At 38.4% G+C, this 27606-nt stretch overlaps 1 protein-coding gene across 20 annotated transcripts in view; it reads left to right on the top strand.

Moving 5' to 3' along the window:
- PCDH15 (protocadherin related 15) overlaps window positions 1–27606 on the top strand; it is a 1825172-nt gene that overhangs the window by 1558545 nt on the left and 239021 nt on the right. For all 20 annotated transcript variants that reach the window (XM_047425663.1, NM_001354420.2, NM_001354429.2 and 17 more), the window contains one exon: window positions 2513–2641. In XM_047425663.1, coding sequence (XP_047281619.1) covers window positions 2513–2641 — 129 coding nt within the window. The remainder of the gene's footprint in view (window positions 1–2512; window positions 2642–27606) is intronic.

Here is a 27606-nt window from a genome sequence, read left to right as displayed (position 1 = left end):
TTAGTTTACTTAGTGATCTGGTTGTATTCTTCATTATCCACTTAAGAGTTACAGTCTTAAACTGAGGATACAGAATACTCTGAAAACATGAATATAAATTTTAAAGAATAGGATGAGAAAAACAGTGGATTGACAGGTAAAGACAGGCTGGTGTAAAGGGGGTCAGGCAATTTGAAGAAAAGCCAGCAAACTCCAGGGTCACCATTCTTAGATTTTGGATCCAGGCTGTAAATTTCAATGTCTTGTTAACCCTCAGGCAAATTGGGAACTACCGCAACTGTAAAAAACACATCTTCTTTACTGCTTTCAATTCTAAGGCAAATTTTAAAGAAATAATATTTGTTAAAATACTTTTTGTCATGAAAGCATGGTAGCCTTTTGGGAGAACATTTAGAAAATATATAAAAGTAACGAGGAAAATGAAATGATCTGGATTCCATCTAGTCAAGTAGCACTTGAATTTCTTTAAACATACTTACATATATCGACACACATGTGTATGTTTGTGTGTGTGCATCTTTTAAAGTAAATAATCTTAAGAAAATATAACACACAGACTAATGCACAAACAATAATTCTACAGCTTAATGAATTTTTACATAGAGAACACACCTATGTAACCACTACTCATAACAAAAAACAGAAATTAATCAGCACTCCAGAAGCTCAGCTTTGTGATCATTTCTGTCGCTATTCGATCTTCTTCTTCAAAGTGACCCGTATTCTAATTTTTATCACCATGTAGGGATTATGCCTGTTTTTGAAGTTTATATAAATGGAATCATATAGTATGTGTTATTTATGTTCTAGAAACTTAGGTTCATGAAATTAATCCATGTTATTACTTATAGCAGTAGTTCGTACATTCTCAGTACTTCATATGATTCCATTGCATATATAAAACACAATCCTGTATAACCATCTACTATCGATGGACATTTGGGTTGTTTCCAGATTTTGACTATATAATGATGTTCTGACCATCTTTGTACGTGTCTTTAAATAAAAATTTTATTTAACTTTAAATACAAAAATGTGTGCAAATCACATATGAATAGCAACATAAATTTTCAAAGGGTAAGCCAACATACAAATAAAGAAATAAGCCATCACTAATACCCAGGAATTCCCTGCTATGCATGGTAATTATTAAGTGACTACTGAACACTGTGCATGAAAAAATTTATAGAGGCTTGGGATAAAGTTACATTACTAAAAAAAGTATTTGCTTTTGCTTCTGTTAAAATAAGGGCAGATCACCTAAATCCAATCAGAGTTTCAATACTGGGTTTACATTTGAGGGAGGTTTGGTCTTTTTCCCAAGCACCATGACTTGCATGGTATAGAACTTCTGTGACCCCAACAGAAAGCATTGGGTATTTACCAAGATCTGTCCTCTTTAATAGCTAAAAAAATAAAAAAAAATAAAAAATAAAAAAAATCACTTGACTCCTTAGCCCCATGACTGCTGCAAAACCTTTTCAGCTTCACTCAAGTCACTTCTTAGTGCTCAGGATTTTAGCCTCTCACTACAAATCACTTACTAATTAATGGAACTTGCATTTTTTTAAACAAAAGGTGGATAATTCTCTCATGACAGTATCACCTTGCTTTTTCCTCCTCCTTTTTATTTATAGTTACTAAATATTTAATACCATAGCATACCAGGTTTCTTACTTTCCAGGTTAATATTCTTTCTCTCTGTACCTTTGCTCTCAGCCTTTTGTGATCAGCCCCACACTGTGACAGAGCTAGGTAGAGGTTCTGTGCTGTACTCAGGCTTTGATTAGAGAGAGCAGTTTCCAGCTTGAATCACTTATGAAGATAGTCATTGATTGTGCAGAAGTCATTGACCTACATAATATTGACTGCAGCAGGCCAGGGATTTAACTTTTAACTAGGTAGCACACACTACTGGTAGGTTTACCTGCATACCATTTCCGTAAGCTGTATGCTTATAAGATAATCATTTCATGCCTAGTATATGGTACTCAAACTCTTGGTTTAAATGTACACCTAGAAAATTATTAAGGTAGCATTTTTCGATAGCATGAGCTTTCCAGAAAATGCTCATTTGATGTACCATGCTATTTTATAATGTACTGGTTTTATTTTTAAACAGTCAAACATACAAGCAGCAAAAACTACAGAAATGGCACATTTCAGAGATAAAGCAGTGTACGTGTGTATAAACAAAAGCTTGCCACCCATAAAATGTGAACAAGATAAAGGTAAAACCGTTTTCCTCCAGGAAATACTTGACATTTCCAAAAAGATGTTTGCCCTTTAATATCATCATTTGCTTTTCCCATCTGTTTTTTGAGGTGGGAAGCTTCTTTGCAAGCTTCTTTTTTTTAATTTTTTTATTTTTTTATTTTTATTTTTTGGAAAGCTAAGGATTAGAAAGAAAAATGAGATGCTTTTCAGATAGACAAATGCCAGAATGACTACTTAAATGAATTCTAAGTAAAAATAGCTCCTCTCACATTTAATGCTTGTGTTTTTCTTTAAGACCTCAACTGCCACAGTAAACATAGTGGTGACAGATGTCAATGACAATGCTCCAGTGTTTGATCCTTATCTGCCAAGAAATTTATCTGTGGTGGAAGAAGAAGCCAATGCCTTTGTGGGTCAAGTAAAAGTAAGTGGAATATTTATATAGATCTTATATGTAGTTTTTCAAAGAGTGTAAGTTTATTACATTTTAATTCTCAAAAGAAACTCAGCTAATGTAATCTGTTAAATGACTGTGCTGGATATTCTTCAAGACTTTAAAAAATGAATCATATCCTATATATTTTAATTAACTTTCAAGGATACAGATTTACATTTTATAATTATTGTATAATTTAAACATTGATTAATGTGATAGTATGCTAATTTAATATATATTTTTAGTTTCTGAAATTAAAACATTTTACAGAAACATGTAATTAGGTATACTACTAGGTATGGATGTGGACATTTAGACCTCAAAATATATATATTTAGATTTGAATTCATTACATTAGGTAAATACTATCTTTAGAGTCTACCGTGTGTTTCTAATATTTTGCACACACACCTTTTCCAGCACTCAGAAGATTTACTCGTAGTAAACTTACTCTTAGTGTTCTTCTAAGTGCTTCTGGATCTACCTGGACATATTAGCCGGTGTCTGTGGTTCATTTGATGAATAATTCCTTTATTGTTAAAACAGAGACAGTACTTCCTCATTTGGGCCATTCTTGGTCTTGAACATAATAATTGGTCTAGAAGTCACAAAGAAGAAAAAAATTGGAGGAAGATGTGCACAATTTGAAGTATCAACCTCAGATGAGGTGTTTATGTGGTCTTCAGGGGAGGAAAGAATCTTGGTTTAGTGAGGTGTGAGCCACCCAGATGTTCCAAACCCAGAGTTCAGGGTCCTACTCCTTCCCTGTGAAGGTTCTGACTTTTCCACAGAAGGCGTGCTGGTGCTTTCAAGTGAGGCTTCTCTACTGTTCTGCTATTCTTATAACCAGGCACAAGATCTGATTTTTAGCTCAATCTCCTTTAAACTGCAAAAGGAGAGGGTTGCTTTAAATGGTGTTATAGAGATCTTGTGATGTTCACACCATGTCCTGAGATTTTGATTGACCAGTTGAAGCTTTTTTAAAAGTCATTTTTTCCTTTAGATCACTGACAATACTTGCAACTACCAACTCCACAGTCATTATCATTATCATTGTCACTATCTCAAATTCTGGAAATACTGCATAAGGCATACATAACCTTATATGTTTATGCCATCCCAATTCACATAGGGGATAATCTTGGTCATTGTGATGTTATAAAATGCCAACTGGTCTTGATACCAACTGGCCAACAAGCGATTCAACTCCAGCATCCCATCTGAAGGCTCTGCTCCCCACACTGTAGTACCTCTGGTGTCCAATGGCTTACTGTGGATTCTCCAACAGAAAATCTGGACACAAAATATTCATGTATAAATATTTTTTGAGAAGTGTAGATAACAGTGATAAGGAAGTGAGAAAGTGAGGCAAAGAAGAGAAGGTAGCCAGTAACAAGATTGCTATTAAACCAGCAATCATAAGGAGAACTGAAACTTCACTCCAAGGGCAAACTCTAGAAAAAGATGCAAACTCATGCATCAGAGTTATCTGTCCTGATAGTTTTAATTGTCCAGTTCCTGAGAGGTTATGGAACTGGAAAACATATACACTAAATCCTGAGAGTAATTAGCTGCAATGTTGGCCAATGGGCTGCCAAGTTTTTGGATTTTCTTGCCTCCAGTAGAAGCAAGTAGTCAAATTCCCTCAGCATAATCTGATAGAAGGGCACTGAGTCAGGCTGTAGATACTGATGGCAGCAGTGGCCCATCTGGAGCAGCCACTGCAAAGACACCAGCTACAGCAGAGGAGGTATGACCTGGGCTAAATGCTCCAGGGAGCCGGTGGGAGCAAGGAGCAGGCAGGAACCTAACCCCCTTCCAAGTTGGCAGGGTGGGAGCCCTGCCATCCTGGGTGTAGCTCCAGCTGCCCAGCTGTGGCTGCAGACCTAGGCATCTCTGTGCTCTCAGGGATCCAGGAAGCTCCCCTGCCCCCACAGAGTCGGAAGTGCCTGTTCCCCCTGCCTGACCTCTTCCAGCTCCTGGCACCCCTTCCAATTTTGAAGCAAAGTTCAGGCCGAGCCCAGGTGCTGTCACAACCAGGCTGGGTGTGTGCGTGCTTGGGTTGGTGCTGACATGCCAGCCCCCTGCCACCTCAGCCTCCTGTGAACTTTGGGCGCCAATGAACATAGGAGGGAGGCCAAGAGGGGACAGAGGGCTGCTCACTGTGGGCCTGCAGGCACTTCTCCTCATAAACAGCCTGGGCACCATGAACAACATGATTGATGGCAGCAGAAGACAGGCTCCTGGGTGGAAAGTGGGGTGTCCCTGGTGAAGCCCCACCTTCAAGCCAGGGATGGCCTGAAGCCTGGGGACCAGCCCATCAGTTCCAGTGGAGTCCGTGGCCCAGAGTGAAAACTTACGGTGCTTTTACCGGGCCTGCCCATGGCCACCCGTGGACCAATCAACATGTACTTCCTCCTTTCTGAGCCCAAAAAAACCCTGGAGCCAGCCAGCCTCACACAGACATCAAGAATACCAGCTGCAGGGAGGAGATTTCCTCTTCGTGTCTCCTGGGACCACCTTCTGCAGAAAGGAACTACCTATTCCGGGTCTTCTCTCTGCTGAGAGCTGGACACTTATGGGGATAACCTGCCTATGGATAGGAGCTACACACTTCGGTCTCTTGAGAGCTGTTCTGTAGCTTTGTAAAGTTCCTCTCCACCTTAACTCTCCAGCTGTGCGCGTACCTCATTCTTCCTGGATGTGGGCCAAAAACTCGGGACCCACCAAATGGCAGGAATGAAAGAGCGGTAACACAAACAGGGCTAAAACCTTGTTTAGCTGCCACCCCCCTCACCATGTGGCGAGCAACAAAAAGGAGAGAAGAGTTGCGGCTCTTCAGGGAGCCCCTCATCCAGACGCGGGTGCTCACAGCAGAAGGCTCTTGCCCTGTATCTGATTCAATCTAAGGTTTGCTGGGAGAGGGCGGCTGGAGCTACCCGTCCCGCCAAAGCAGCTAGCGTGCGTGGCTATGCACAGTGACAAGACCCTGCACTTGCTCGCTCATGCACCCATCGCTGCTCTGAACCTGGCTTGCCCTGGCAAAGTGTCGGATTTAGCCCAGTAGCATGAGCCAAGCACAGCCTGCCAGGTGGAGTGGGTGATACAAACACAGCTAGTCCGAGCAAAACTTGGGCAAAGGCGCCACCACCCGCAGAGGTTTCTGGCTGGAAAAGCAACACCCTTAGGATCCAGTGACAATACCAGGAGGTGGAAGTTGGCCAAAGCATACCAAATGCTCTGAGGGACATGCATAGGACACTGACAAGTTTGGCTACACCAAGAAAACAAGGTAATAAAGTCTATAACAGGGGCATGTGCAAAAATTATCATCAAAGGAGAAATGCTGAAGTTGACTCAAGAAGGAAGAACACAGGTAAGAGAGAAGTTGAGAGAAGTTGGAATCTGTTAGGGAAAGTTAGTTGTATAAGTAAAGGCACAGAGAAATCAGAGTGTGACATAGCATAGTTACAATGAATAAGACGTACCATGTCATAAACACTTTTCTATACCATGTTGTAGAAGGTGACGGGGGAGCCACTAAAGGGTCTGAGGTATGGCAACATCTGATTTGTATTTTATAAAAATTACTCCTGATATATTGAAATGGGAGATTCTAAATCCAGAAGGCAGAAGTAGGAGGCAATTGTAATAAACCAGGCATATGAGGCTTGAACTAATGTAATCGTCTTTATTAATGATAATTAAGTTATATTACAGTTGTCAGTTTAAAATGCCACATTGCTGAAAACTGAAAAACTTCACTTAGCCATATATATATTAACTATTCAGTTAAAAACAAACAAGCATTGAAATTATTTACAAAAATGATCTTTCCCATTTTCTTAATTTATTTAGCTTGGAGAGATAAAGCCCAGATGGAATATATAACTAAAAACACACAAGTAGACATCAACATGATGATTAGTTTTTAGTTAAATTTCTTTTCCTTTTTTTCTTATTTTTTTTTTCCCGCTTTTCCTAGTGATTCTTTGTTCTTGAATTATTGTGTTAACCTTGTTGTTGTCTCCTGGTTCTTAAATTTGATAAGAAATGGCCTCTATAATTTATTTCAGTTTTTAAAATTGAAATATGGACCTTAGCCTGGTCTTTAGGCAATAACTTGTTTTCATAAAAACTAAAACGATGTTGAAAGCAAAAAGGAAGAGGAAGACATCCAAGGCAGGCTGCATCTAACTGATTCTGCACAGTGTAATGTTTATAGGATGGAATTTTGATGCTCATAATGGTTGCTACCTAATGATAATTATATCATATATTAATTTCACTAAATTACTCATGCTCTGCTTGTAAAATTTAATTTTAATTGTCATCAAAAACTATTAAGACTTAAAACCAAGATACATATTGTTAATTACTATACTGAATTTGAGTTATCAACTTTGTGTTTATATTCTATTGATATTTTAATATGAATAATCCAATATTTGAATTAAAATGCTGAAGGGAGTTTTCATTTAGTTGTTTTTTGTTTTTTTTTTTTTTTTTTTTTTTTTGAGACAGAATCTCACTCTTGTCACCCAGGCTGGATGGAGTGCAATGGAGTGACCTCGGCTCACTGCAACCTCTGCCGCCCAGGTTCAAACTTCACCTGCTTCAGCCTCCTGAGTCGCTGGGATTACAGGCAACCTCCACCATGCCCAGCAAATTTTTGTACTTTTAGTAGAGACAGGTTTGTGCCATGTTGGCCAGGCTGATCTTGAACTTCTGACCTCAGGTGATCTGCCCGCCTTGGCCTCCCAAAGTGCTGGGATTACAGGCCTGAGCCACCACACCCGGCCTCATTTAGTTTTTAAAGGTAGTGTTGTAGTAACAAATAATAACTAAGGAATACTTTTGAAGCAAATTTATGGATTATACATAGCAAAAAGTTTTATCCAGCATATTAAAAAATAACCTACCAATCAACAATTTTTAATGTTTATCTTTTTATTCACAAGGTATCATATTATACCTTGTGCATTTAGAATTGAAAACTGTAACAATATGTATGAAAAGATATACTCAAAACCTAGTAAATACAGTAAGTATATACTCTGTGTCAAGTGTCAAATGGGTGCTATAAATTCTTTACTGCAAGGAAAAAGAGACATTATAATAGACTGAGGTGGCCAGGTTAGGGTTCATGAGAAAAGCAGATTATTCTTGGTTCTTTTCAATGTATTAGTGAAATCTTTGTTGGAAATTTAAAAAAAAAAGGAAATAAAAATACCAGCCAAAAAAATGTAATATGAAATATAATCCAGCTGAAGAAGCAATTTGAGGACTCTAAGTCAGTATTCTGACAATAATGGAAGAGCTGTTTAAAGGAGTTCTGGAAAAATGATTAAAAATACATTGAGTTCAGATGGGGCCTAATGAAATAGTGAATGATATGAAGACTTAGTGTAATATTTTGCCTAGTATCCTTGAGAGTATTTCACAGGAGATAGAATCTAGAGGATTTGTATGCATATCTTGACTGTGGACCACAAGCATGCAAATAATTGATCTTTAGAATGGGTCTCAGATATGAGAGGCCTCTTACTAGAGGCCTCATACTCAACTGCAGAACTCTCAGATGATCCCAAGTCTTTGGGGGAGCAGATGCCAGTAGAAGCCCCCAAATGCAGTCATATTCTGATCAAATCTGCAGGCCTGGTCCTGGACCCCTCAAGTCTCAAAGGAATAGGCATTTGGGAATATACAACAGCAGAGCATGATATAACTTCTGTGAAGGTCCATTCAGCCTTTAGATAGACTGACTCTAAGCCAGTCTACTAAATCAGTGTCCAGCTTTCCAGCCACTTACCTTTAAAAGCCTGTTTTATACTGGACTGTGACTTCTAGACTCACCACACAGGGATCCCGGACTTCTCATCTTACCTAACAACCCTCACCTCTTATGCTCCTTACATACTTTAATGAGACGACCACTCCCTGGTCACTTGGTTCATCCTGTCACTAGATCACGTGACTCCATGAATCCAGACCCAGCATCCCAACAAGATGGAGAACTTAATGAACAGCTTAAAATATGGGCCATGGAATAAAACTACCTGAGTTCAAATTTGACTTGCCAAAATAACTAATGCAATCTTGGATAACTAATTTAGCTTCTCTGGGACTGGATTTCGCTATCGCAAAATGGAGATAATAATAGAATTCATCTCAAGTAGTGATTTGAAGGATTAATACATACACATAATATATGTACAGGTTTAAAATAAGGAATGAAGCTAATATGCACTTAATTTTTATTATAATTATGTTAAATACTAAATAATTTATAAAGTATGGCTACGTATATTATAGAAAGTAATATTTTTTACAACACTATGAACTAAATGCAAACAATTGTTTATGATTTTTCGAAATACGGTAGTTGCACTCTTGCATTTGCCTAATATTACCATATTTAGAGAACATTTTAATGGAAGTACTGTTCTTAAGAAACTATAAAATCTTAAGTTGATAAATGATTTTCTTCTACTGCATCACTACAAACAATCATAGTCAGTCAGATTATAAACAGCGTTTATCCTTTTTAAGTGTGTTAGCCAAAGCTTGGTCTTTGATAATAACAAATGTACAAATCAACATTTAGTACATGAACATATATATGCATATAGTCACATTTGTAGGATATTTTAGAAATTTAAAGGAAATGAAAGATATTTGTTATTATCAAAATAGAGCTCATGGTTGCGATCCTGATTTTTGTATTTTTGTTTATTCATCTTAAAATAAGTCCAGCTAGTGGGATATGTGGAGCTTGCATTGAAAGAAGCATATTGGATAGACTGACAGCTCTAGTAAAAAATCAGTAATAATGACTATCAATTTTTGAATTCTTACAATGTGCCACGAACTATTCTAAATGCTTTCCATTGTACATATTTGAATTACTTTCAAATGTTTGGTCTTAACCACTCTACTATACAGGATTCTCCAATGACCATGCTTCCTGTGACTTGCTCATGCGTATCTGAACTGAAAAAATACAAACATGCGTTAGGTGGCTATCAAAGTGTTGTTCCTGGAAAAGCAGCATCAGCATCAGCATCAGCACCAATAGAAACACCTTAGAAATGCAGACTGCTATACTCTATACCACAGAGATTGAATCAGAAACCCTAGTGTTGGGGCCAGAAATCTGTGTTTTAGTGAGCTCTGCCATTGATTCTGGTTTATACTAACCTGTGCCATGCACAAGCGCATGTGTATATGTAAGAAAGAGAGAAAAAGGAAAAGGGAGATAAAGAAATATTATGTGTTAGAGGAAAAATATAAAATTCTTTTATGTATTATGTATTTACTTATTGTTATATAAGATAAATAGGGTAAAGCTGGGTCTGTTGTTGGGGTTATGCATAATTATTATTGTATTACTGTTATTGTGCATACTCCCAACAGTAGACCCAATTTAGCCTAAACTAGTTACTTTACATAACAATAATAAATAAGTCAATTTCTTGTCAAATGTTCATGTTTAAAAGTGGCATAATGAAAATCATTTTCATTTGTAGCAATATGAATGGAAATGGAGGTTATTATGTTAAGTAAAATAAATCAAGAATAGAAAGACAAATATCACATGTCCTCACTCATAGGCTGGAGCTGAAAAAGTTGTTCTCATGGAAATAGAGAGTAGACTGATAGATACCAGAGGCTGAGAAGAGTGGTGGTGGTGGAGGATGGGGCTGATGAAGAAAGTTGTTACAAACATACTGTTAGAAGAAATAAGTTCTGGCCAGGTGTGGTGGCTCATGCCTGTAATCCCAGCATTTTGGGAGGCCGAGGCGGGTGGATCATCTGAGGTCGGGAGTTTGAGACTAGCCTGACCAACATGGAGAAATCCTGTCTCTACTGAAAATATAAAATTAGCTGGGCATGGTGGCACATCTCTGTAATCCCAGCTACCCAGGAAGGCTGAGGCAGGAGAATAGCTTGAACCCAGGAGGCAGAGGTTGCAGTGAGTTGAGATTGCACCACTGCACTCCAGCCTGGGCAACAAGAGCAAAACTTGGTCTAAAAAAAAAAAAAGAAAGAAAGAAAGAAAGAAATATGTTCTAATGTTAGATAGCAGATATGGTTTGGTTGTATCCCCAACCATATGGTTTGGGGATATGACCGATATGGTTTGGTTGTATCCCCACCCAAATCTCGAACTGTAGCTCCCATAATTCCCACACGTCGTGGAAAGGACCAGGTGGGAGGTGACTGAATCATCAGGGCAGGTCTTTCTCATGCTGTTCTTGGGATAGTGAGTAAGTCTCACAAGATGTGATGGTTTTATAAATGGGAGTTCCCCTGCATACGCTGTCTTTCCTACCACCATGTAAGCCAGGACTTTGCTCCTCATTTGCCTTCTGCCATGAAAGCAGGCCTCCTGAGCCATGTGAAACTGTGAGTCAATTAGACTTCTTTCCTTGATAAATTACCCAGTCTCAGGTATGTGTTTATTAGCAGCATGAAAACAGTCTAATACAGTGAATGGGTACCAGTAGAGTGTGGTGCTGCTGGAAAGAGACCCAAAAATATGGAAGCAACTTTGGAACTGGGTAACAGGCCTGGGTTGGAACAGTTTGGAGGGCTCAGAAGAAAATAGGAAAATGTGGGAAAGTTTGGTACTTCCTAGAGACTTGGAGGGCTCAAAAGGCAGGAAGATGAGGGAATGTTTGGAACTTCATAGAGAATTATTAAATGACTTTGACCAAAATGCTGATAGTGATATGGACAATAAAGTCTAGGCTGAGGTGATCTTAGATGGAGATGAGAAACTTGTTGGGAACTGGAGTTAAGGTCACTCTTGCTATGCAAGAGACTGGTGGCATTTTGCCCCTGCCCTAGGAATCTGTGTAACTTTGAACTTGAAAGAGATGATTCAGGATATCTAGCAGAAGAAACTTCTAAGTGGCAAAGTGCTCAAGAGGAAACAGAGCATAAAAGTTGGAGAAATTTGCAGCCTGATGAGGCAGTAGTAAAGAAAACCTCATTTTCTGAGGAGAAATTCAAACTAGCAGTGGAAATTTGCATAAGTAAGGAGGAGCCAAATGCTAATCACCAAGACAATGGGGGAAATGTCTCCAGGGTATCTCAGAGACATTCATGGCAGGCCCTCCAATCACAGGCCCAGAGGCCTAGGAGGAAAAAATGGTTTCCTGGGCTGGGTCCAGGACCCCTCTGCTGTGTGTATCCTCATGACTTAGTGCCCTGTATCCCAGCCACTCTAGCCATGGCTAAAAGGGGCCAAGGTATAGCTCAGGCCAGGGCTTCAGAGGTTACAAGCCCCAAGTCTTGGCGGCTTCCACATGGTGTTGATCGTGCAGGTGCACAGAAGTCAATAATTAAGGTTTGGGAACCTCTGCCTAGATTTCAGAGGATGTATGGAAATGCCTGGATGTCCAGGCAGAGTTATGCTGCAGGGGCAGAGCCCTCATGGAGAACCTCTGCCAGGGTAGTGCAGAAGGGAAATGTGGGTGGGAGCCCCCACACAGAGTCCCCACTGGGACACTGCCTAGTGGAGCTGTGAAAAGAGGGTCACTGTCCTCCAGCCCCAAGAATAGTAATCCACTGACAGCTTGCACTTTGGGCCTGGCAAGTCGCAGACACTCAACACCAGCCCATGAGCCCATGAAAACAACCAGGAGTGGGAGCTTTACCCTTCAAAGTCACAGGGGTGGAGCTGCCCAAAGCTGTGGAAGCCCATCTTTAGCATCAGCATGACCTGGATGTGACACATGGAGTCAAAGGAGATCATTTTGGAGCTTCATGATTTGACTTCCCCATTGGATTTTGGACTTGCGTGGGGCCTGTAGCCCTTTTGTTTTGGCCAATTTCTCTCATTTGGAATGGGTATATTTACCCAATGCCTGTATCCCCAGTGTATCTAGGAAGTAACTAACTCACTTTTGATTTTACAGGCTCATAGACGGAAGGAACTAGCTGTGTCTGAGATAAGACTTCGGACTTCAACTGTTGAGTTAATGCTGAAATGAGTTAAGATTTTGGGTGGCTTTTGGAAGGCATGATTGGTTTTGAAATGTGAGGACATGGGATTTGGGAGGGGCTGGGGATGGGATGATATGGTTTGGCTGTGTCCTCATCGAAAATCTCACCTTGAATTATAATCCCCATGTGTCAAGGGAGGGGCCAGGTGAAGATAATTGAATCATGGGGGCAGTTTTCCCCACACTGTTCTCATGGTAGTGAATAAGTCTCTCAAGATCTGATGGTTTTATAAATGGGAGATCCCCTGCACAAGCTCTCTCCTGCCTGCCATCATGTAAGGTGTGACTTTGCTCCTCATTCACCTTCTGCCATGATTGCGAGGCTTCCCCAGCCATGTGGAACTGTGAGTCAATTAAACCTCTTTCTTTTATAAATTATCCAGTCTCAGGTATGCCTTTTTTAGCAACATTAGGACAGACTAATACAGCAACTGTGGTTAGCAGCAATGTGTTGTATATTTTCAAGTGGCTTGAAGAGAGAACTTGGAATGTCCACACACAGAAATGGTAAATACTCTAAGTGATGGACACCCCAAATTCCCTGATTTGATTTTTACACATTCCAGCAAAATATCACATGTACCCCATAAATATGTACATATATTATATATCAATTAAAAATGGCATAATCCCAACAATGGACTTGGATGTGCCTCTCAGAATCTTATTTATTCCTAAAAGAGAATTGAAGGATTTCCTGGGAATAATTTATGCTAATGTGTAACAGTCAGACAGATGAATCTGGTCTCATTATAAACCTGATGTCATCAGAAGTAGGAGAACATGATGCATAGTTCAACATGGTTTCTGTCATTTTCATTTGTTTTCTCAACTAATGTTCTGTGAATTCAATCATCAGTCTGGGTTAGAAAGTGAGAAGATAAAGATCTATTTCAGTAAATTCTGTCTAAGATACATGATCATGAGAAAAACTTCTTTGTACTTATTAACATAATTCAGCATAAAAGAAAAAGAGGTGGCCTTTTACTTCAGCACACTTATCACACTATATGCTTTAGTGCATTTCTGTATGTGAGACATGGGTGGATGGAGGTTGAGGGGGGAGGGAAGTGGAGGTAGGAAGGCTTTCAGCTAATATCAGAGGTGTCTGGCCTTTGTAGGAGTATCTCATTGAGGAGTCTGCTAAGGTCAGAATTCTCAAGTTTAAGGACTAAATTATTTATCTCTGTTTTTCATAGCAACCCTGGGCATAAATGCTTGCACAAATGCATTAGAGAAGGCACACTTGGAAACTATACTGCCTGTTAAACAATGTTTAAACAAAGATTAAACAATGTTCTCAGCATTGTATAATATAGAGTAAGCTGATTCCCAGTAAACTTCCATGTAATACCTTGTATAAATTTTTCTACTGAACTGACTTCTTTGAGGTCTAGGTAACAAAAATAGAACCATAAGTCTACAACATGTTCTTCCAGTTCTAAATAAGAGGCTGAATTTATTTAACTTAAAACACAAATGTATTCCCAGTATGAGACCTGCATGCTAAATCTTAGCTAAGATATTGTAGGAATGTTTCTGTCTTAAGCACTTAAAGAAGTTTTAAAATCATTAGTAAACTACAGTGTTTGGAAGGGTAGTGATACAGTCATTAAAAAAATGATGTTTCCTTCAACTATACAATTTAATATTAAACAAAATAAATCTGAACCTCAGTGGCCTAACTCTGATTACTATAGTTGTCTCCCTGTGTGGGGTTCTAAAACTAAAATGAAGGTGGAGAGCATTATGGTGATTTCTTATTTTTTGTAGCTCAGTATGACACTCAACAGTGCCTAAAACTGTAATAATTCTTTTTTAAGTGGGCTGCAAGTGGGGAATTTTATGAGTTCTCTTTTTAAGCCAAACTATATAATGCAAACCCTGTAACTCATTCTGATAAAGAAAAAAGCCCACACAATTTGAAAAATTGGTTATGTCAATATAAATGTGCTACATAATAATATTTACAATAGAAATCTACCTAATGTCTGTGACTATTTTTGAAATGTGGTCATGTTTCAGATATTCAATTAGCAGCTCATAAATAGATTAGAAAATTTTAAGAATATATTTTTACAATATTTATTTAGGGCCTACCCCTTTAGCAATGTTTAGGCTTAATATCAGCTATTAGAAAAATACACATTATTGTGTGTGTGTGTATGTGTAAATATTTATAGTTGTGAAATCCCAGCTATACAATGAATGATATCTGTGTCCACTTTATGGTCACAAATGACCACTGTGCTTTTAAATGTTATCTTTATCTAAGTCACTTTACTGCTCTATTGCTATAGGATCTCTCTCTGTCTCTCTTTTTTCTTAAGATTCTACTACCTGCTTGCTGCTAGTTTTCATGTTTAAGCACATCTAATTCTGTCTTCCCCTTATCTGTTTGCTCCTTAAACTTTGGATTTTGAAAGTATCATCTAAGTTGCCCTTTTGACTCTATGTATTCCTTTTTTATCAATTGCAATTACATTAAAGCCGACAGCTTTACTTACATTGAGATGCTTATTTTCCTTCTACTCCTTTAAGCTACAGCCTCAAATAGACATATATCTGTAAAATATCCACTTGAATTTCCAGAAAGCATCTAAATTTCAACATTTTTAAGATTGAAGTCTTATTTTCGTCTTCCCCAGAAAGGGCTCCTTCTGAATTCTGTACCTCAATTAACTATTCCCCAAGCCAAATGCTAAGGAGCCATCTAAGTCTCCTCTTTCTCTCTCACTCTCCATATCCAAGTAATCACCAATATTGATCATTTTACATGTTACAAATTTTTCTCACATTCTCTCTCTCATAACAACCATAATCAGGCTCTTATTATTTCTCACTTGAACTATTGCTACAGCCTGTGAGTTAGTTATCCTGATACTGGTCTTGACACTTTATAATTATCTGTGATGTAAATTCTGGAATTATGTCTCTAACTAACAAATAACTTAAGTACACAATATGGTTATTATTACCCACAGAACAAACAAAACACAGTACCCACCTCACACTATTACTTTGACAACTTTATCTCTAGCCATACTCACTTGCTCACAATTGCTAATATATGTCTCTTTGCATCTGTTTATACCCCCACCTTGATTTTCTTTTTCTCCATTTTTTAAAGATAACTCAGATACTTGAAAATTTAGCCACTATAATCTTTTCCAGAAAATCTTTTGTGAACTTTCCTATACCCTCGGTGTTTTCTATTCATGGTCTCATGTAATACTGTGTACAAATTTTGATAGTAATTGCTAGAGTATATTTATGTTGTCTATTTATCTAAACATCTTGAAAGTAGAGATTGATGTTAGAAATTTCACTACATAGCCCAACGCTTGGCTTAGCCCTTGCATAATGTATGTACATACATGAAATGAAACTAAATTTAATGACATAAAATTATCTAAAAGTAAAGTTTTGTAATGAAGATTCCTAAATGTAAAAAGAGAACCGGTAAAGTATATGTCAGCATCTAAACATACATATTTGTCTTACCTCACAAGCATACAAACACATAAATAAGTTCTCTTGACAAATAAATAAAAAGCTTTGATATTGGATATATGTCCACTTTTAGAATTTCAGTATGTGTAAGAGTATACTTACATGTACTAGTCTGTTCTCACACTGCTAATAAAGACACACCTTAGACTGGGGAATTTATAAAGGAAAGAGGTTTAATTAACTCACAGTTCCACATAGTTTGGAAGGCCTCAAGAATCTTGCAATTATGGTGGAAGAGGAAGCAAATGTGTCCTTCTTCACATGGGGGCAGGAGAGGTTCAGAGCGAAGCGGGGAAAAGCTCCTTAGAAAACCATCAATCTTGTGAAAACGTAGTATCATGAGAACAGCATGGAGGTAATTGCCCTCATGATTCAATTACCTCCCACTGGGTTCCTCCCACAACACATGCGGATTATGGGAACTAAAATTCAAGGTGAGATTTGGGTGGGGACACAGCTAAACCATATCATTCTGCCCCTGACCCCTCCCAAACCTCATGTCCTCACATTTCAAAACACAATTATGCCCTTCCAACAGTCCCCCAAAGTCTTAAGTCATTGCAGCATTAACCCAAAAGTCCAAGTCCTAAGTCTCATCTGAGACAAGGCAAGTTTCTTCCACCTAATAGCCTGTAGAATTAAAAGTTACTACTTCCTAGATACAATGAGGGTACAGGCGTAGGATAAACACATGCATTCTAAATGAGAGAAATTGGCCAAGACAAAGGGGCTAAAGGCCCAATGCAAGTCCAAAATCCAAGAGGGCAGTCATTAAACCTTAAAGTTTCAAAATGACCTCCTTTGATTCCATGTCTCACATACAAGTCATGCTGATGCAAGAGTGACACTCCCATAGCCGTGGGAAGCTTCAACCCTTTGGTTTTGGCGGGTACAGCCCCCCTCCTAACTGCTTTCATGGGCTGCCATTGAGTGCCTGCGGCTTTTCTAGGCACATGGTACAAGGTGTTGGTGGATCCACCATTCTGGAGTCTGGAGGATGGTGGCCCTCTTCTAACAGCTTCACTAGGCAGTGCCCCAGTGGGGACTCTGTGTGGGGGCTCTGACCACATGTTTCCTTTCTGCACTACCGTAGCAGAGGTTCTCCATGAGGGCACCACTTCTATAGCAAACTCCTGCCTGGACATCCAGGCATTTCCATATTTCCTCTGAAATCTAGGCAGAGGTTTCCAAACCTCAATTCTTGACTTCTGTGCACCCACAGGACCAACACCACATGTAAGCGGCCAAGGCTTAGGGCTTGTGCCCTCTGAAGCAACACCTGGACCTATACATTGGCCCCTTTTAGCCACGGCTGGAGCTGAAGCAGGCAGAACATGGGGAACTATGTACTGAGGCTGCATAGTGGGCCCTGGACCTGACCCATAAAACCATTTCTCTCCTAGTCCTCTGGGCCTATGATGGGAAAGGATGCTGTGCAGGTCTCTGATATGCCCTGGAGACATTTTCCCCAATGTCTTGGTGATTAGCATTTGGTTCCTTGTTATCTATGCAAATTTCTGCAGCAGGCTTGAATTTCTCCCCAGAAAATGAGTTTTTATTTTCTATCACATCATCAGGCTGCAAATTTTCCAGACTTTAATGCTCTGTTTTCTCTTGAACCCTTTGGCACTTAGAAATTTCCACAAGATACCTTAAATAATCTCTCTCAAGTTTAAAGTTCCACAGGTATCTGGGGTAGGGGCAAAATGCTTCTAGTCTCTTTGCATAGCAGGAGCGACATTTACTCTATTTCCCAACGAGTTCCCCATCTTCAGCTGAGACCACATCAGCTGGACTTCATTGTACAAATCACTACCAGCATTTTGGTCAAAGCCGTTCAACAAGTCTCTAGAGAGTTCCAAAGTTTCCCACTTCTTTCTGTCTTCCTAGCCTTCCAAGTGTTTAGGAAGTTCCAAACTTTCTCACATTTTTAGATCTTCTTCTGAGCCCCCCAAACTGTTCCAGCCTCTGCCTGTTACCCACTTCCAAATTTGCCTCCACATTTTCAGGCATCTTTACAGCAACCCTACTTTCTGTGGTACCAATGTACTGTACTAGTCTGTTCTCACATTGCTAATAAAGACATACTCGAGACGGGGATACTTACAAAGGAAAGAGGTTTAATTGACTCACAGTTCAGCATGTCTGGGGAAGCCTCAGGAAACTTACGATCATGGTGGAAGGGGAAGCACACACATCCTTCTTCACATGATAGCAGGAGCAGAGAAATGCAGAGTGAAGGGAGAGAAAAAATGCTTGTAAAACATCAGATCTTTTGAGAACTCAATTACTATCACGAGAACAGTATAGAAGTAACTGCTCCCATGATTCAATTACCTCCAACCAGGTCCCTCCCATGACATGTAGGGATTATGGGAACTACAATCAAGATGAGATTTTGGTGGGGACACAGCCAAACCATATCAATACAGTTGATTTAAAAAACAGTGTTACAACACCAGAATCTCAGCGATGCAGCAAAAGTAGCATTAAGAGGAAAGTCTATAGTGCTAAATACATACATCAAAAATATAGAAATAACTCACATTAATACTCTATCATCATGCCTGGAAGATCTAGGGAAAAACAAACAAACAAACAAACAAAACCCCTTATGTCTAGCAAAAGAGAACAAATAACTAGAATCAGAAAGAACTGAATTAAATTGAGGCCCCAAAATCTATATAAAGGATCAATGAAACCAAAAGTTGGTTCTTCGAAAAGATGAACAAGATTTATAGACCTATAGCTAGATTAACAAATAAAAAGAGAGGAAATCCAATTAAGAACAAGCAGAAATGACAAAAGATGACATTACAATTAACCTCACAGAAATACAAAAGATCCTCAGATGCTATTATGAACACATCTATGCACACAAACTAGAAAATGTAGATGAAATGGATAAATTCCTGGAAACACACAAGCTCCCATGATTGAATCAAGAAGAAATCAAAAGCTTGAACAGAAAAATAATGAGTTTTGAAATTAAATTAGTAATGAAAAATCTACCGATCAAAAAATGCCCTTGAAAGGATGGATTCACAGCCAAATTCTACCAGACATACAGAGAAGAGCTGGCACCAGTCCTACTGAAACTATTCCAAAACTTCGAGTAGGAGGGACTCCACCCTAACGCACTCTGTGAGGCCAGCATTCTGATACTAAAATCTGGTAAATGCACAGTTAAAATGGAAAACTACAGGCCCATACCACTGAGGAACAGAGACATAAAAATCTTCAACAAAATACTACCTAACTGAATTTCACAGCATACTAAAAAGTATCTCAAAATGACAAAGCTGGGCACCATGGCTCACACCTGTAATCCCAGCACTTTGGGAGGCCGAGGAGGGTGGATCACAAGGTCAGGAGTTTGAGACCAGCCTGGTAAATATGGTGAAACCCTATCTCTACTAAAAAGACAAAAATTAGCCAGGCTTGGTGGCGGGTGCTTGTAGTGCAAGCTACTTGGGAGGCTGAGGCAGGAGAATTGTTTGAACCCAGGAGGCAGAGACTGCAGTGAGCCAAGGTTGCGCCATTGCATGCCAGCCTGGGTGACAGAGCGAGACTCCGTCTCAAAAAAAAAAAAAATCATCACAATAGATGCAGAAAAAGCTTTTGATAAAATCCAATATTTCCTCATGATAAAAACCCACAAGAAACTAGGCATTGAAAGAAAATACTTCAAAATAATCAGATCCATCTATGGCAGATCCACAGCCAACATCATACTGAACATGAAAATGCTGAAAGCATTCACCTTGAGAACTGGAACAAGAGAAGGATGCCTACTCTAACCCCTCCTATTTAACATATTACCAGAAATCTTAGTTAGAGAAATCAGGCAAAGAAAGAAATAAAAGACATCCAAGTAGGAACAGAAGAAGTCAAAATATCTCTCCTCACTGAAATTATTATTCTATACCTAGAAAACCCTAAAGACTCCATTAAAAGGCTACTGAAACTGGTAACTTCAGTAAAGTTTTAGGATACAAAAATCAAGGTAAAAAAAATCAGTGGCATTTTTATGCACAAATAACAGTCAAGCTGAGAGCCAAATCAAGTGTGCAATTACATTTACAATAGTCACAAGTGAAAATAAAATACCTAGGAATGCATCTAAATTTGGAAGTGGAAGATTGCTACAAGGAGACCTACAAAACACTGCTGAAAGAAATCATAGATGGCACAAACAAATGGAAAAGCATTCTATGCTCATGGATTGGAAGAGTTAATATCATTAAAATGACCATACTGCCCACAGCAATCTGTAGATGCAATGCTACTCCTATCAAACTACCAGTACCATTTAACTGAATTAGAAAAAAAAAAAACTGTTCTGAAACTTACATGGAAACAAAAAAGAACCTGAATAGCCAAAGCGATCTTAAGCAGAAAGAACAAAACCAAAGGCATCACATTATCCTACTTCAAACTATACTACAAGCCTACAGTAGTATAGGCTACACATAGACAGACACATAGGTTAACGGAACAGAATGGAGACCCCAGAATTAAACCATTTGATTATAAAGTCAACAAAAATAAGCAATCAGAAAAGGACTTCCTATTCAATAAATGTTGGGATAACTGGCTATCCATATGCAAAAGAATAAAACTGCACTCCTCCCTTTCAGTATGTATAAAAAGTATGTCAAGATGCACTAATCACTTATGTAAGATGCAAAACTATAAAAATCCTGGAAGAAAACCTAGGAAATATCATTCTGGACATCAGCCTTGGCAAAGAAGTTATGACTAAGTCTTGGAAACAATTGCCACAAAAACAAAAATTGATAAGTGGGACGTAATTAAACTAAGGAGCTTCTGCAAAGCAAAATAAAATATCAACAGAGTAAACAACCTACAGAATGGGAGAAAATATTTGCTAACTATGCAGCTTTTAGATGTCTAATATCCTGATTCTATAAAGAACTTAAAATAATTCAACAAACAAAAAAGAAATAAGGCCATTAAAAATTTGGCAAAAGATATGAGCAGACACTTCTCAAGACATACAAGCAGCCAACAAACAAATGAAAAAATGATCCACATCATAAATCATCAAGAAATGCATATCAAAACCAGAATGAGATACCATCTCACACCAGTCAAAATGACTATTATTAAAAAGTCAAAAGATAACAGATGTTTGCAAAGGTGTGGAAAAAAGGGAATGCATATACACTGTTGGTGGAAATGTAAATGTGGATATCTCCAAACTGCTTTCTGCAGTGGCTGAACTAAAAACAGAACTACCACTTGAACCAACATTCTTATAGCTGGGTATATACCCAAAGGAAAATACATCATTCTACCAAAAAGACACATGCACTTGTATTTTCATGACAGCACTACCTACAATCGCAAACTTATGGAATTAACCTAGATGCCCAACAATGGTGGATTTGATAAAGAAAATATGGTACATATATAGCATGGAGTACTAAACAGTCATAAAAAATGAAATCATGTCATTTGCAGCAACATGAATACAGCTGGAGACCATTATTTTAAGTACATTAATGCAGGGACAGAAAACCGAATACCACCTATTCTCAGATGTAAGTGGGACTGAAACACTGGGTACACATGGACATAAAGTTGGGAACAATAAACACTAGGGACTACTAGAGAAGAGACTGGGGGAGGGGCACAAGGGTTGAAAACTGAAAAAAACAACCATTGGGTACTATGCTCACTACATGGGCAATAGAATTATTAGTACCCCAGATATCAGCATTACATGATATGCCCTTCTATGAAACCTACACATGTACCATCCATGCATGAATCTAAATAAAAGTTGAAATAAAAAAAAAAAAGTGATTATCACCCCCACCCCCCACCACACACAGCAGTGTGAATGCAAAGAACAATTGAAATTTATAGTTGGTACTGGAAAAAATAGCACATCTCTTTACCCACTCATGGGACAGGCAAAGATAATGAAGGCATTTCCCAGGCGTAAAAACTACATGGAAGAAAAGTATAACAGACATGCTATCAGCCTATTTGGTCATGTATTTGAAATTGTGTTTTCCATTTCCCCATTTAAATTATTTAATGTATATCCAAGAAGCAATACCAAGTAATTTTGCCTCACAAACCCCTGCTACATCTATCTAGCTATATATTTTAATGCTACATTACTTATTTATGAGATCCTACTTTATACAAATTGCACTTCTGTTTTATAGACTGATGAAAATTCATGACCTATTCACTTTAGTTCAGTTCAGTTTTCCTTCTCTACAAATATTATAACTCACTACAATTACTTACGTGGACTTTATTGCCTACCTGAGGAATAAGCTTGGCAACCAACTTGGTTTTACAGAAAGAATTCCAGCTATATCCGGAGATTTTTATTAAGACCAACTCTTGTCCTTTAAACTTTAAGAAAAAAAATGTAATACACAAAAGTGATTTAAAGATAAATGTACAGTTTAGTATATTATTATACAGTAAACATAAATGTAAGTCCAAATCAGGTATAGAATGCATCACCAGAAAATCTTTCTTCATGCTCCTTCTCAGGCGCAATTGCTTTCCTCCACCTAGAGTTAACCACTATGTTAATTTCCTGGGTTTTTTTGTTGCACATTTACCATCTAAGTAAGCATTTATAAACATTATAGTTTAGTTTTGTCTTTTTTCGAAGCCTGTAAACAGAATTTTAGAGTGTGTGTGCATTAGTATCTGTCTTCTTTCATTCATATTTAACTTTTTACTATTCAGCCACATTTCTACCTGTTCATTCATTTATTTGCTGTTTGTGGCTATGCCACAATTTATTTTCACATTCTCATGTTGATGAGTGTTTGAGAGCTCTCCAGTTTGAGGATGTTATCTTCAGTGCTGCTGTGAATATGTTTATATCATTTCTCCTGGCGCTCATGTGCCTGAGTTTCTCTATGTTATGAACATGTGTCTATTCAATTTTGTTGGAAATGCGAAATTGTTTTCCATAGTAACTATGCCAAGAGTTGTATATGAGAGTTGGTCATGGTTCCTGTCTGTGTGCTTGGTATGTCAGTCTTTCTAATTTGAGCCACCTTGTTACGGTTTCAGTGATATCGCATTATGATCGTGATTAGCATTTTGCTAATGGCATTGAGAATCTTTTCATATATTTACTTACTATTTTGAATTTCGTCTTTTCCGAAATGCCTATTTGAGTTTCTTATTTATCTGTTGGAGTAAATGTGTTTTCTTCTTGAATGTTCTTTTTTATCTGTGGGAGTTCTTTGATTATTATAGAAATGAGCCCCTCCTTTGTTATATATGTTTCAAACATTTCTCCCATTCTCGAGCTTCCATTTCACTTCCTGCAAGATATCTTTTGACACACAGATTTAAATTTTAAGATTATCAAATTTATCCATCATTTTGTAAGTGTTACTATTCTTTTGACCTTGCTTAAAAAATAGCCTACTTCCTCAGGTCATGAAGGACCTGCTTTTTAAAGATTTATTGTCTTGTTATTCGTAATAGGTTTATCATCTGAAATGATTTTTGTGTGTGGAGTGAGGTGGGAGTATAATTTGTTTTCTTCTATATAAATATATATATTTCCCACTGACTCGCAATACATATTATCATAAATCCCATATACATGTGTATGAGGGTTTGTTTCTGGGCTCTCTATTCTATTGTGTTGGTTTATTAGTCTAGTCTTGCAGCAATAGCACACTGTCTCAATTATAGTGATTTTACATACAGTCTTGATACCTAGCAGAGCAAGCTCTCTCATCTTTTTCATCAAATTTTAGCTATTTTCATAGGTGTAGTGATTTCTTTCTGTACTTTGTGATTTGTTGGCATAAAGAGCCAATAATTTCTACTGACTAACCATAAATATTGGTTTAATGGGACCCTTACTATGTCATCTCAGTGAAAACATCACCCCGGTCTTCAGAAAACCAGGATCTCTAGTGCAGCAGAGCCTAGCTTTGCAAGGACGAAAGTATGCCTTTCCCAAATGGGTTAGTCAAGATGATGATGAGAGAGGCCATTCCCACCCTGAACCCTTGATTTGTCATTTCCATCTAGTCTTCTTATCAAGAAAAATGTACCATACAATGGTCATTCCTTCTGTGGCCCTGAAAAATTTCATTCCCAAATTCATCCTTAGCTCTATCTTTAAGAGGCTTTTCCAGTATTCTACTAGGTCAGCACTGCTGGGTGGTACTGTATATTAGTGCCAACAGATCCAGTGGTCCTATGCATATGATTGCACCTAACTTTGCCATGAGATGAACTTCTTGGTTGGAATTGATGTTATGTGCAATTTTCTGGACAAAGTCAGAATAGTCAGTGTCCTCAGCTATTAATATTGGCCAAATCACTGCAGCAATAAAAAAGCAACTCATACTTCAAATGTGTATTAATCACAGGAAAGAACACAATGATGCGGCTTTAGTTTACCTGATTTTGATGTTTTTAGATTATATAAATCCAGCAATAGCCTTCTTGGCTGCCTTTCTGTATTTGCTTTGGGAACACCGTGGTTGGATAGCCATCCTTATAGATCTTTGCACTTCGTAGCAGCTTATTTGACGTTGTTTTTTGCTGATTGCTATGATACATTTCATCCATCTGCCTCTGATATTGGAGTATTTCCACCTGGATTCTGAATCCAGAATTCTTCCACTCACATTGACACTAAGGAACACAAGTTTCATAGCAACATTCACTACCCTCTACTCTGGCCTGGTGAGGAGAGCCATCACTGAACTTTTCAATGATACCAGAGCACCTCTTGTTGCACCTTTCTATATTGCTTCAGAATTGGGAGTGCTACCTAGGCTCTCCTGAGGAACAAAACTAATAGATGGTTTCTCTGGTCATACATAAGAAATCCATGCTAAAATGCCCACTTCTATATACCTTTAACTTCAAATCCCTGTCCAGGCACTTTCACTACCTACACCTTGTTTATTATAGGCCACTGTTTTTCACAACCTTTGGGGAATAATCCAGCAGTACCTTAGAATCAACTCCAGGTGTCCTGGCCACAATTATGACAAAGTATCTCCATACCACTAAACTCTTGGTAAGATGTACTTTTCTCCCTTCAACCCCTTCCAACATAATCAAGATCTATCCTCAGTCATGTCCTCCTGGTGCTGCCAATACTATAAGGCATATCCTGCTGTTCTTTTTGGGAATAATCCTTTTCTACTCATAGCAGGGACAGTTAGAACATGCTGCAACTTGACTTTAGTTATTGGTGCAAAAGCAATGCAGGGACATAGGTACAGAGGACATCTATCATCTTGCTTACAAGATGGTAAGGTATCTAATTCAGATGAAGTCATTACCTGATCTCCAGGCGAGGGATACTGTTCTCATCTAAAAATGAAAAGAAAGTGAAGTTTTCAGTCTAGAAGTTCCAGAGAATCAGTATGTTTTTTTGAAGTGTTTGTAGCCACATGTGCCCAGACCAGCTCTCCTTCCCTACCAATACTGGTGTGGAAGACTTGTCAGGGAGTTGATTGCATCTTTCCTTGTAATTATGTCTTGAGACCAGGGGTAGTGGCTCACCTGTAATCCCACCACTTTGGGAGGCTGAGGCAGGTGGATTGCTTGAGCCTAAGAGTTTGAGACCAGCCTGAGCAACATGGCAAATCTCTGTCTGTACAAAAAAATACAAAAATTAGCCAGGCATGTTGGTGCATACCTGTAGTCCCAGCTATTCAGGAGGTGAGAGGATCACCTGAGCTAGGAAAGTCAAAGCTGCAGTGAGCTGTGGTTGTGCCACTGCACTCCAGCCTGGGAAATGGGAGTGAGACCCTGTCTCGAAAAAAAAGAAAGAAAGAGAAAGAGAGAGAGAGAGAGCAGGTTGTAATTACATCTTGAGCATGATTTTGAGTAAAGTCTGTCATTGTCTGTGGATATGGAGCTTCTTTAAACGTGCTAATGGAGGTCATTGGTTTTTACTCTTTACCTCTGAATTGATATTGCTGGTTCTGAGCTTCATTTATTCTTTTTCAACACCTTTGTTATATTTAGCAACCAATCAACTCTGTAAGTTTTATGAATTAATGTTCACCGATAAATCTGAAATTATACAGATATGGCATTAAACCAGGCTCCCCATTCCCCCATATACCATATCAGTTCATCTCAGGTGAAGGCTTCAAATGAATCATGACTTACTCTGAACTCCTGTACAGTAAGCATGCCATTTGGCTAGCAAATTAGCAAATTCCAAAATCTCATCTTAAGTATCTGCTTCCTAGGACCACTTCTGATTCTTGCATTATCAGTAAATCTGTCTGAAACATATTCCAAAGGCAAGTACTCCTCACCTATTCTAAACCACAATCATTTTTCCCCTAGATTATGTAAATAGTATCTTACTTTTTGACCTGTGCTACCCCTCTTACAGTCAATTTCTGCACTACAGCAAGAGTGATATTTTAAAAATGCAAATTAGATGACACCATTTTGCCACTCAGACATTTCAGTGGATGCTCATTGTGTTAGAACAGAATCCAAACTCCTTTTTCATAGCCTTCATATCTCCACATGACTTGGCTCCTCCTGCTCTCTCCAACATCATTTGCATCACTCCACTCCAGCCACACTGGGCTTCTTGCTGTTCTTGAACACAGCTACGCTTACCAAACCTTCAAATGGATTTTGTACTTGTTGTTACCTCTGCCTGGAGCACTCTTTCTCTAACTCTCTGTGTGATTCACTCTTTCATTCAAAAAGACATCTTTTGCAAGGATGACTTCACTGAGTACCCCATTTCAATAGCACTCTCCCTGTCCTCCAGAAACAAGTATACCCCCTTTCCCTTTACCAACATTAAATTTTCTTTACAGCATTTTTGACTGCCTGCAAATATAGCATATTCCTATTTAGGTTGTCTGCATTCAAATTCTAGCTGCATCACTTAGTAACTATTGACTTGGGCAAATGATCTAATCCATATGAAACTCAGTTTCCTTAGCTATGAAATGGAGAGAGTAGTCCTAATTAATAGGATTCCCTAAAACTTAAAAGAGAGAATTTACCATCACCCAAGACGTTACAAAAATGTCTGGCAATATTTCATCCATGGGAAATTGTTATAGAAAGCTGCTTCGTGCCATCAGAGCCTCCCCAGTTTGACATTCAACTTGAGAATGATTCTTCAGTCATCCCTGAATCTAAGTCATTATGCCATTATATAGAAAACATTTTTTTTCTATCTTAATTACTAAAAATAATCTCAAGAATGTTACTAATATCAAATAATCTCAAGAATGTTACTAACATCAAGAGGTACTGTATCTATTGTCATTTCCTGTATTTACAAATATTGTAAACTAATGGGAAAAATGTAATCATTTTGTCATGACTTTTATTTAATACAAGTAATGTGAAAGTCACCGTTGGGATTCCAAACTTCCTGACAGTGTGAAAACT

This window comes from Homo sapiens, chromosome 10 (genome assembly GCF_000001405.40).
Source record: "Homo sapiens chromosome 10, GRCh38.p14 Primary Assembly".
NCBI lineage: Eukaryota > Metazoa > Chordata > Mammalia > Primates > Hominidae > Homo > Homo sapiens.
This window is presented reverse-complemented; position numbering and strand designations above follow the sequence as displayed.